We start from the raw sequence: 12,637 nt of genomic DNA, 5'->3' as shown, positions 1-12,637 counted from the left end.
ATTTCCAGTTGAAACTAGGCTTGCTTTCGGTACACAGGTGAAGACTTGAGGAAGCCAGTGCCAGAGAGGACGTGCCTCACCCCTCAGCTGGCTGAATGCGCTTCATTGGCTTACGCTTTGCTTTCTGTATGCTTTCTGTCCTTCTGGGTGGTGTCGCATATATTTTTAAAACCACATTCAGTGTGATGAACACTTGTTGGTACACTTCTAAGGTTAGTCATCTTTCCTTCTCTGAGCAGATCCTTGAGAAGGGCATTGACAGTGGATGCTTTAAATAGTGTTCAGTTTTTACCAGTAATAATATTTTTTGGTGGATGTCATGAAAACACATGACATCGTGTTGTGCCCATGATAAAAAGTCCTGACTTTTTATTGAATGAGGTGTGCTGGTCAAAGAGACAGACGTGGCTGCCTTCTCTGGTAACAGCCAGAGGAAAAAGTTAGCAATTCTAGATGGGTTCTACAGCTTTAAAAAACTTGTTGTATCCTTAGGTCCTCATAATATTAAATATTTTCTAATTTTAACAGATTTTAAGAGTCAGATATATACTTTGACTTGAATGATGTAGTGTTGCTTAAGGAAGAAAAAATTATAAAAAAAATGTTTCTTTTATTTTCAGGAGTTTTTAATTCATATCTAGTTCATTTCCACTCATATCTATTTCTGCTAATAGATTGACAGCAACCTTTGGTTTAATGCTGTGTTCTCTAGCTACACCAACAAGTTATATATTCCTTTCCAATATTAACCAAGTATTTATTTTATGTTAGCCTATGACTGAGTTTTATCTATGCTTGCACATATATAGAATGTAAAAATATAATTCTCCATGTTTAATGTATCCATATAAAAATGAAAATACCCATTTTCTGCATTCTTAAAGGGTTAAGAAAAGTAACATGTAATAAGCACATGGAGGACTTTAGACCATTTCTTGTGTTAGAGGAGACTTTATACATTTGTGAGGTTTTCTGTCTTTTGGTCCTTTTATGTTCTTAGTCCATTTCATTATTGTTTTAATATTTCTACCAAGGAATGACCAAGAAAAGAGAAAGGAAGAAAAAAAATGTGTTAATCATTTTCTTTTAATGGTATGTCAGCAGAAGGGGTTCTGACTGTAAGCTAATGTGCACTTGTGCCTGTCCTCTTTGTCTTAAACTAAAGTTGGTGGTATGAATCGAAAAATGTGTATTGGTTTAAAAAGCAGTTTATGATATGAAACAGTCTTCCAGTTTTTATATCAACTCCTTTGCTTTCAACAGTCAGTTCAAAGCACCATTTATTGATGGTTTACTGTATGCCAGACACTGTATTTTTTCTTTACGTATTACCCTACTTAATCCTCAACACAATTTTATGAAGTAGTTATTGTTAGCCTGAAACTGGCATTTCTCCATCCTTTTATGGTGCTGTCTTTGAAAAGTCTCAGATGTGTAACATGTCCTAGAAGTAGATAATTATCAAAGGAAGACTGCAACTGCAACTCACTTCCCTCTGAGAAAAAATATCCCTGACTAGATTACATATCTAGTTCCAGACCAGAACCTGGTGGTATTAAAAGTGTTTTGGTTGACTATTGTATACCATAATGAGTACCTACATTCCCAAATTGCCTGCCTGGTTGTTGTACAGACTTAAAAATCTAGCCTGCCTTGATTTTTACTTTTCAGATACACATGTTTAAAGAGATCTTTGCTGGTCACAGTAGCTCACACCTGTATTCCCAGAACTTTGGGAGGCCAAGGTGGGAGGATTGCTTGAGCCCAGGAGTTTGTTCAAGATCAGCCTGGGTCTCTACTTAAAAAAAAAAGAAAAATTTAGCTGGGTATGTTGGCACGTGCCTGTAGTCCCAGCTACTCAAGAGGCTGAGGCAGGAGGATCACATAAGCACAGAAGTTTGAGGCTGCAGTGAACTATGATGGAGCCATTGCACTCCAGCCTGGGCAGTAGAGGAGACTTGTCTCTCTCTGTATATTTGTCTCTCTCTCCCTCTCTCTCTCTGTCTCTCATAATACATATATACATACATATATATATACACACACACACACACACATACAGAGAGATATATAAAATAGATATAAAAATAAAGATATTTTAAAGATTATTTATAAATATATGTTTTTTAAAAATGTAGTCTATTATAAGCCAAATGTCATTAGGCATGTAGTCCATTTCTTTCTGTGTTCAGGCAGGAGTTCCAGTTCTATAAACATTGGTTTATCTGTTTTTCTAGCAGGTGCACACATGGGTTCTCAGTGATGTGTAGCCGGGGCATAGATTGCTCTCAGTCTGTTGCACCCTGCAGGGGAGATGTCTGAGGTCCTCCCTCGCCTGGCTGTGCTGGACGCACAGTGCATAGCAGAACTAACTGCACAGCAGAAATGCCTGTTCTGCGTTCCCATTGATACACCAACAGCTAATGAAGTCTCTTTTACTTTTAAGAAACCCTTATTTGGCTTTGGCATATTTACATGGTAGAGGCCTAGAATTTTATAAATAAAATTTTGAAGAATAGAAATGTATTTTTTCACGATTTAAAAACCACCTGTATGGTTTACTCTGGAGTTGACCTGTTCCACTCATCCTTCTCCCCAGTTCATTTGTTTCGTTTCAATTCCACTTTCCCTTATAGCTATCTTCAAAGCAGTGTCTATGGGACAGCATTGCCAAGAGCCCTGACTGGGCCTGGCTTGGTAACTCACTCCTGTAATCCCACCTGCCCCTAGAAGTGCAGATATACTAGAAAATACAGCTGTCTTTGTTCCAGTGAATATGTATAAGGGGTGACATGCCTTGGTGGAAAGCAGCTCAGATTGTGTGGACTCCTCAATCCCTGCTCTACCAAGAGCTCTCCAGTTCCAAAACTGTACACTCAGTGGCTATGTTCTGTGTGCCTGCTCCCAATACAGCCATTATGTTGTTCATCCAGATTTGAGAATTTAAGCTTTTCACTCCTCTTTGGGTAGTATTATTTAAGTAAGAACTTCTAGGAAAATAGTATGAGTTTGGTTATTTTTCCCTCGGCAGCAGGAATTTTCTGAATATTTAGCACATTCAGATTGCTCCAAGAACAGCATTGAGCAATGCTGTACATGTGCTTTCTCCTAAGGCTGTCTCCCCTGTCTACTGGGTTCTGGAAAGACTCATTGTCCTTCAGGGAAGGGAGCATTTTTCCTCACTGCCATTGCTGAGCCTTTTCTCCTGTTGTATACTATTTAGCCCAGCATGAAGCCATCGCCGACTGTAAGGAGTGATGGATAGAAGTGTTTACTTGGTTTGTGAGGCCTTGTCTCTAAAGGGTAACAGTCTGACAAGGAAAACATTTCAAAGAGCCCTGACCAGGCCTGGCTTGGTAACTCACTCCTGTAATCCCAGTACTTTGGGAGGCCGAGGCTGGAGAATCATTTGAGCCCAGGGGTTCGAGACCAGCCTGGGCAACACGGTGAAACCCCACTCTATTTAAAAAAAAAAAAAAAAAAAAGCCCTGATCCCCCTCTCTGGGCGATCCATTGGGAGAATTTGAAAAGTTCAAACTTTTGAACTCTTCCTACTTTATTTTTTTAAATTTAGAATGGAAGGTGGGAATTATGCAATTTGGTGAAGATGTTACAGAAACTGCTTCACGACTTTCTGGTTTTACGTTATACAGTATGTTTTGAGGAGCTCCAAGAATTGCACAGGAATTTTTTTCTTTATACAGACCATTTTTTAAAGACGCATCAAGTTATTCTTTATTGTGGCTCTAATTTGGCATATTTTTCAGACACAGGTTGCTCTTGATACATCAAATTTCTGCTGTTAAAAACTTCAGTTATTTTGAGTTTAGTTAATTCAGGAGCGGGAACCTAGGTAAGTCATCTGTAGAGCATCTTTGCACCTTAAGAGAAGTTTCTGATTAGCCTCAATTCAGTTTAGTAGAATATTAGTGTGGATATCTGGTGGCAAAACCTATTCTTGGTGCAATTTGGCTTTTCGTGGCCTCAGGCATAGAGCTGACTTGGTAGTGGACCCTCTGTCCACACCCACCCGGCCCTTGCGCCTTTCTAGCATAAAGTGGTGTGTCAGAGCCACTGTCTCCACAGAAAGCACCACGTTTGTTTCATTTGACTTATTTGAACCCGTTTCTCCTGCCTTTGCCTTTTTAAATAAAAATAGCAAAAATTGATTCAAGTGAATCTATTAGAATTTTCTAAAATGGAGCCCATTTGTCTTTTCAGTCTTGCAAGTAAAGTCTTTAAAACAATTAAGCCTCCCAATGATTTAACCGTATTTTCTTACCCCCCCACCCTGAATAATATTTACAAAGAAATAATAACGTGAATTTTTAAAAACCCCGTCCTTCAGTTGTTATAAATGATAGTTCATTCTTGGTAAGTATATCTGTAACAAAATACTGGGGAAGGACATGAGGTATGGTGAACACTTAAAATTCTGCCAGCCAGCTTAAATACATAATCTAAATTTAACCCACGTAACACCTCTTCTAGGTAAACAGCATTCTCCCTATATTCAGATGAGAAAACTGAGTCAAAGAATAAGTAACTTGCCCAAGATTGCACAGCTAGTACATGACAGAACTGAGATTCACTCTGCAGTCTGTAGACTTCCAGTAACTCCAAACCTCATACTTTTTCTTTTATGTTACACGGACTCTGTTTTTAATGGAATATTTAAATGAGATATTTAAGTGGGAAAGTAATAGACAACCACTCTTACCTGTTAAAATCCAAAGTAATTCTCTAGTTTTTAAATGGAGCACATTTAAAAAACTTTGTGCACCAGTTTGAACTACCACTGCAACAGAGAAATACTAGAACATCAGAGTATTCTCTAAACCAGATCATTACTTCATTCACTTTGATTGAATTGAGTTGCTTATTTTAAAAAGACTTCTGGATGCATGGAAAACATATATATTTTGCAGCACTCAGAATCAATACAAAGTACCTTCAGCCACTTTGGTTCACATTCTGAAGATTCATGTAATAAACACCCATAGTAGTTGTGGGCTCACATTATCTAATGAGAATGTTTTCTTGATGACTTGACATTTCTCCGTCACTGTTGGATAATCAGAGAAAAAAAGGACGTTCAGAACACCAAGGTGCTTGGTACAATTATGCCAAGTGCCCTGTCTTTAAAGGGAGTAGCCTAATTCTCAGCATTTGGGAGTTTTTGACTAAATGTGTGGATATGATTTGTATTTCCTATTTCTTAATATATATGTGAAGATACAATACTGACAAGTACTTAGATTTGGAGGTTTTGCGGTACTGAGGGGAGTTGGGGGAAGAATGGAAATACCATTGACCTCCTAAAAAGTTGTTACTTGCAAAGTTTGGGAGGTGACATCAAAAACTCAACTGCCCTTACAATAGTCATTCCATCCATCTGTTGCTTATTTGAATTCTCATTTATTTTTACTTTATGGCATTAAAATACAATAAATCTGTCAATTATGTATTTTATATTAGTAGTAGCTTAAGATTGGGTCACTTCATTTCGGTAGATATAATTGTTAGTATTATCCTTCAGGACAAAAAGCATCTGCTAACAACCTGTGGTTTAAAAATATAGGCCAACTTTATGTTCAAACATTATGTTGATAATATTTTTAGCAGTATTACACAGTGGAGGTCCAAATTGGATTAGACTTTTGCATTGAATTCCAAAGTATTGGTAAGTCTAGCACATAGTATAAAGTCTTGCTAAATTCTTGTGGGTACATTATTTTTAAAACCTGTCTGTCTGTCGGTATCACACAGAGGTCACTTCTTGAGTAAAATAAGATGACCTTAAGAATTCACATAATTCTTGAAGAAGAATATAAGTCACGATGCTTCCACATGAGGCCGCGTCACACCACCATCGTTTGGAAATCCAGCACCCCAGCCGTTTTACCCTAAGATAACAGTGCAGCACTTAGTGTGGTTGAATGTGTCATGTGGGAATGATTTTTGGTCACCTTTTCAGTTCATTGTTAGTCCTTTTATGTTTGTGTGCATCTATGTTCGTCTGTGTGTTTGGTAAATATGAATTGAATAGATGACTTCTTATTTTATGTTTTAGGCCAAGATTGACAGACACCTAATATTCATGACTTGAGAATATTCTGCAGCTATAAATTTTGAACCATTGATGTGCAAAGCAAGACCTGAAGCCCACTCCGGAAACTAAAGTGAGGCTCGCTAACCCTCTAGATTGCCTCACAGTTGTTTGTTTACAAAGTAAACTTTACATCCAGGGGATGAAGAGCACCCACCAGCAGAAGACTTTGCAGAACCTTTAATTGGATGTGTTAAGTGTTTTTAATGAGTGTATGAAATGTAGAAAGATGTACAAGAAATAAATTAGGGGAGATTACTTTGTATTGTACTGCCATTCCTACTGTATTTTTATACTTTTTGGCAGCATTAAATATTTTTGTTAAATAGTCTTTTGTTGGTTTGTGTGCATTATCTTAGGACAGCTCTGCTTCAAATAATGAATATTTTCCTGTGAGTTTATAATTTCTGTAACAAGCAATTGACATACTGCCGAGGCGGGTGGATCACTTGAGATGAGGAGTTCGAGACCAGCCTGGCCAACATGGTGAAACTCCATCTCTACTAAAAATACAAAAAAATTAGCCAGGCCTGGTAGTAGGCACCTGTAATCCCAGCTACTTGGGAGGCTGAGGCAGGAGAATCACTTGAACCCGGGAGGCAGAGGTTGCAGTGAGCCAAAATCGCACCACTACATTCCAGCCTGGGCAATGAGTGAAAACTCCGTCTCAAAAAAAAAGGTTTTTATAGTTGCCCTTCAATAGTCTTTCTATCCTTAATAGTACAGGTTAGGTGAAAGCAATAATAGAAGAGTTATGATATTCCTTTATTACTTGGGAGAATATTAATATGGGTAATGGTATTGCCTTAAGGTCGACATTAATTTCAAGCAAGCACAGCAGTTCAGGGCAGTTTTAAAAATCACAGCGTCATTCCTGTGTTGGATGTTGTGGTTTCCCCAAACAATTCCCATTACAAGAAAGCCAGGGCCAGGCGCGGTGGCTCACGCCTGTAATCCCAGCACTTTGGGAGGCCGAGGCGGGTGGATCACAAGGTCAGGAGATCGAGACCATCCTGGCCAACATGGGGAAACCGTGTCTCTACCAAAATAAAAAAAATTAGCCAGGCATAGTGGTGGGAGCCTGTAGTCCCAGCTACTCGGGAGGTTGAGGCAGGGGAATCGCTTGAACCCGGGAGGTGGAGATTGCAATGAGCCGAGATTGTGCCACTGCATTCCAGTCTGGCAATGGAGCCAGACTCCGTCTCAAAAAATATATGTAACAATTTGTTTTGCCAACTTTGAAATTTATATAATATTCATAAAAACGTCTATTTCATATCTTTAAATTTAAATGACTTAGGTTCCTTTTTGCCTTATATGCCAGGTTTTCTAGGTCTGTTTTAGGAGTATGTAAACTATTCCTGCTAAATCTTTCCTGAAGGATGCATGAAAAGTTTATTATACTACAAAGTAGTACGGGAAGATGATCTTTCCATGGTGTCCGCAAAGCTGCTGGAAAGAATCATCTATACTCGGCTACCTCTGTCTGCTCTCTTCCTGCATACCCTACCCCCACTCCCAAAATGACCCAGAAACGTCATCTTAGCTTGTACTGTAGCTTAATAAAGCTACTGCTCTTTAGTTTTCCCTTCTATGGCTTCTTGGCAGCATCATTAAGAACTCTGTCTTTGAAACTTTCTCCTTAGACTCCGAAAGACTTGTCTCTGGGTTTTCTTCATCTCAGTTCTTCTGTCTGACTGGAATATTGGGGTTTCCAAGGACTCCATCTTTGGGCCTTTGATTTTAACACACTTAACCTTGGGTGATCTGATTTTTCCACAAGTCTTTAATACCTGTAAGCTGATTACATACAACTTCTTCAACTCCAGGCCAGATGTCACTTCAGAGCTATAAACCATATATCCAGTTCCCTAAGTGGTCATTGCATGAATTCCTTACCCTCTAAAATATAACGTGATTTCCCTCTTTTCATCTCCTCTTCCTCCTGTATTCCATTTATTTTGTGGCACCCCCTGGAAACTTGAAATTCATCTTTAGTTCCTCCACTTAGACTTCACGTCCAGTTTGGTTACAAAGTCCTGTCAGTTCTGCACAGTGACTCTCGCTCCCACTGCCCCGCCTTGGTTTAAAGTTCCATGCTTGTCCAACCCATGGCCCACGGGCTGCACGCCGCCCATGATTGCTTTAATGCGACCCAACACTAATTTGTAAACTTCCTTAAAAGATGAGCTTTTTCTGCAATTTTTTGTTTTTTGTTTTGTTTTGTTTTAGCTCACCAGCTATTGTTAGTGCATTTTATATGTGGCCCAAGACAATTCTTCCAGCGTGGCCCAGGGAAGTCAAAACATTGGACACCCCTGATTTAAACCTTCCTTGCTTGTGCAGCTCACAGCAGCAGGTTCCTGCCTAGACATGCCTGTTTGTGCCTACCCACTCAGCACAGCTCCCAACTAATTTAAGATCTGACTGTTACCCTCCTTAAAATTCGCTTATGGCGCCTTAGACAATTTCGTCTTCATTTTAAGTCAAAAAGTCTCAGCACCCGCCTGCCATGATAAGGCACCCTAAGCTGCAGCCATCCCAAACGATTTGGAATGAGTGGAATATTGCTCATTTGCTCGATGAATATTTATTGAACACACCTATGTGCTTGGCACTATAGTAGACAGCGGATGTTCAGTGATGGGGGAAGACGACTGCAGTCCACTTCCTGTGGTCTTATGGGAGAGTTAAAACAACAAGCCTGTAAATAAGCAAATATGTAATTAAACCAGTCATAAGTGCTGTGGCAGAAATGAATTGATAGCTACTTAGATGTGATACCTACTTAGATGTGGAGAAATGAGCTTACGAAATCTGAAGCAGAGGTACTAGGAGTAGTTGGCACTGAATTTTTTGGGGGATGGCCACGTAAGTCCCCAGTTTGGAAAGGGCAGTGGCAAGGAAGACTCGAGCTTTCCAGATAAGATGTGACTCTACCCTGTGGTCTGCAGGACAGGCAGGCATGTATGCCAAGACAGCTCTGGAAACCACGAGAAGCATCTCTGAAGTAAGCCGTGTCTGCCACTGCCCTATGCGGTCATTTATTTTTGATGAAAAACCAGTATCTTAACCAATAGAATCAGAAACTTAACCCTTTGTGTGTTTGGGTAGATTCTTCCCAACAGTCCCTGGCCCACGTGAAATGCTGCAGCTGTCAAAATGGGATTGGTGTGAAAACCCACCACCATGTTTGGACTGGAAGGAGTGTCGGGAAACTGAAGGAGTGATCCCTGAGCTGACCCTTGCCAGACAGATACCAGACAGCATGTGGCATGTGACATCTGGGTGGCTGGGCCCTTTAAAAGCAATCCTGAACAGCAGAATTCACCCACTGTTCCCACATTTCTAATTGGCCCTGTGGACAATGTAAGGAGGCTGAGGCGAAGGCAAGGTAGCCCAGCACACAATTCCCTGGTGTTTCACTTAGGGTTCTCCAGAGAGACAGCCAACACGATAGAGAGGAAGGTGAGCAGGGGATGGGGAATTGGCCACCTCTATCATGGAGGCTGAGAAGTTCTGTAACCCACCTCCGGCAAGCTGAGAACAGGGAAGCTGGCAGCGTGTTTCAGTCCAAGTCTGAAACTAATAGTACAACTCTGGAGGTCCACTGGTGAGAGTCCCAGAGTCCAAAAGCCAGAGAACCAAGTGTCGTCCAAGGGCAGAAAAGCACGTCAGCCCCAGCAGGGAGTGAGAATGCACCCTTCTCTGCCTTTCTCCGCCTTTCACTCCATCCAGGCTCCTGCTGATTGGATGGGTGCCTGCCCATGTTGAGGGTGGGTCTTCCCTACTCAGTCCACCGACTCACATGCCAGTCTCCAGAAAGACCTTCATGGGCACACCTGAGGCAGCCCAATCTAACCAAATGCCAGACCACATGGGTTTCCCTTTAGGCAAAAGAGGACAGGTGCAGAGCCTCCTGAAGCCTTGAGAGTAATGAGTGCTTCACCAGATATGGGGGTACCCCTTCCTCCCGTCAAGTTGACACTCCAAATCAACCATCACACCCAGCTTCTCCTAATCAAGGCAGTAGAGACACTTAACATTCCCCAAACAAGTTCATCAGTGGCACAGGGGAGTCCCCAAGGACAGACACCCTCTCCTGTTGGCATACAGTGGCATTCCAAGCAGAAGTTGAATAACTGCTGTTAGGTGTGGAAGGGAGAGAGTGGAGACAAGAAATGCTATAACCTCCCATGTCGGGGGCAGAAAAGTAGACTGCAAGAGGGAAAAGCAGAATCCGTTTTAATAGTTGTTATATTAGCATGTGTGAAACAACCTTGCTGCCCTTACAGATAAGGTTGGAAAGAGCTGTGTCTGGGGCTCTGTAAACTGTGAGTGCTAAATGAGCAAGAAAAATACAAATGAAGACATTGGTATTAAGATAGATAATAAAAACTAATATTCTGCTTGAAAAATGATGGCTTCTAAGTAGAAAACTAAGAATTCTTAATTCAGGCCAGACACAGTGGCTCATGCCTGTAATCCCAGTACTTTGGGAGGCCGAGGTGGGCAGATTACCTGAGGTCAGGAGTTCAAGACCAGCCTGGCCAACATGGTGAAACCCCATCCCTACTAAAAAATACAAAAATTAGCTGGGCATAGTGGTGCATGCCTGTAATCCCAGATACTCAGGAGGCTGAGGCAGGAGAATCACTTGAACCTGGGAGCCAGAGGTTGCAGTGAGCTGAGATTGCGCCATTGCACTCCAGCCTGGGCAAAAAGAGTGAGACTCCATCTAAAAAAAATAAAATAAAATTCTTAATTCAAATGCCCCCAGGATGACGATTTTAATGCTAACAAATCTGCTTCAGTCTAGCTTTGTGTGGAGCAAGTGGCAGAGACATTTACTCCTTTCCAAATACAGGCGGTCCTCCATGTTGGTGGGTTCCCCATTTGACATTTGTGGGTTCAACCCACCACAGATCAAAACAAAACAAATAATACCACAATAAAAAGTAATACAAATAAAAAACACAGTATAGGCCAGGCATGGTGGCTCACGCCTATAATCCCAGCACTTTGGGAGGCCGAGGTGGGCAGATCACTTGCCGTCAGGAGTTCGAGACCAGCCTGGCCTGACCAACATGGTGAAACCCTGTCTCTACTAAAAATACAAAAGTTAACCAGGTGTGGTGTGTGGGGAGGGTGGGGAGCGCCTGTAATCCCAGCTACTCTGGAGGCTGAGGCAGGAGAATCACTTGAACCTGGGAGGCAGAGGTTGCAGTGAGCCGAGATCTCGCCACTGCACTCCAGCTTGGGCAAAAGAGTGAGACTCGAGACTCTGTCTCCAAAAAAAAAAAAAAAAAAAAAAAAAAAAAAAAAAAATAGAGGTTGGCTGGGCTGGGTGGTTTACGCCTGTAATCCCAGGACTTTGGGAGGCTGAGGCGGGCGGATCACTTGAGGTAAGGAGTTCAACACCAGTCTGGCCAACATGGTGAAACCCCATATCTACTAAAAATATAAAAATTAGTTGGGAAAATTAGCTGGGTGTGGCTGCTGATGCCTGTAATTCCAGCTACTCAGAAGGCTGAGGCAGGAGAATCGCTTAAAGCTTGGAGACAGAGGTTGCAGTGAGCCGAGATCCGGCCACTGCACTCCAGCCTGGGCGATGGGGTGAGACTCCTTCTCAAAAAAGCAAAAACAAAACAAACCCACAGAGGTGGACTTTCTTCTATAGGGAGATAGAAAAATCTGAAGACATGTAAGTGTGGAGCTACACGGTGGAAGACCATTACCAATATTGGAAAAAATGCTGATGAACACCATTGAGCGAAGTCCCTATCGCAGAGGAAAAATAATCAGAATTAGCAAGAAGGTGTGAAGTTAGTGAAATTAGGAAAATGAGAGTCTCAGGAAGCGCCCGAACCAAGGCATTGGCGAAGTGGGGCTACAGCGCCCACGTGGCATCTAGAGTTTGGGAGACAGGAGCAGGGGCGAGGAGACTCTTCCTGCGGAGGAGGCGCGGGGAACACAGCCCCGAGCTCCTACCTGCTTAGGCCGGGACTGAAGGAGACGATTAGACAAGACAGCAGGAACTCACGCAGCACAGCATGGAAGGAAGGGGACCCCACACGCCCCGCTCCCAAGTGAGGAGCAATGCAGGCAGGTGTGGACGTTTGGCTCCTCAGAATAGGGAGTCCCCAGACAGCGATGCCGGCTCAGCCTGCTCATCCTGGAAACTGGCGGCCCTTGCGAGGGCGGCGACAGTGGAATGCGTTGAGGACTGCCCTGCTAATGAGATTAGTTCGTCTGAAACGTGGAAATGGTGCAGATCACATCATATATCGTTTAGGAACCGTTCTGATTACTACTAACAGGTTGGAGAAAAGAATGGCCTACACAAGATAGAAATTGAGCTGCGTGTAGCTCGGGTCGGACAGCGCAACTCCCGGGCTGAACCGTGATCTGTTTTTCTATTCCACCATGACACAGTTCTTAGTCTCACTGTCCCCTCAGGACGCATGATGGCTGCGGGATCCCAGTCATCATGTTCACATTCCAGGAGTGCAGAGTGAGCTTCCTAAA

The 12,637-nt window shown here is 42.2% G+C and overlaps 1 protein-coding gene across 9 annotated transcripts in view; it reads left to right on the top strand.

Annotated features, from left to right (window-relative positions):
• The window catches only part of PTPN2 (protein tyrosine phosphatase non-receptor type 2), a 98,760-nt gene extending 92,320 nt beyond the window's left edge, over nucleotides 1-6,440 (top strand). For all 9 annotated transcript variants that reach the window (XM_024451228.2, NM_080423.3, NM_080422.3 and 6 more), the window contains one exon: nucleotides 6,074-6,440. In XM_024451228.2, the coding sequence (XP_024306996.1) occupies nucleotides 6,074-6,095 (22 nt within the window). In that variant the 3' untranslated portion in view covers nucleotides 6,096-6,440. The remainder of the gene's footprint in view (nucleotides 1-6,073) is intronic.

The sequence above is a fragment of the Homo sapiens genome, chromosome 18 (assembly GCF_000001405.40).
Source record: "Homo sapiens chromosome 18, GRCh38.p14 Primary Assembly".
Classification (NCBI taxonomy): domain Eukaryota; kingdom Metazoa; phylum Chordata; class Mammalia; order Primates; family Hominidae; genus Homo; species Homo sapiens.
Note: the sequence above shows the minus strand (reverse complement) of the source record. Positions and strands in the feature narration are given on the sequence as shown.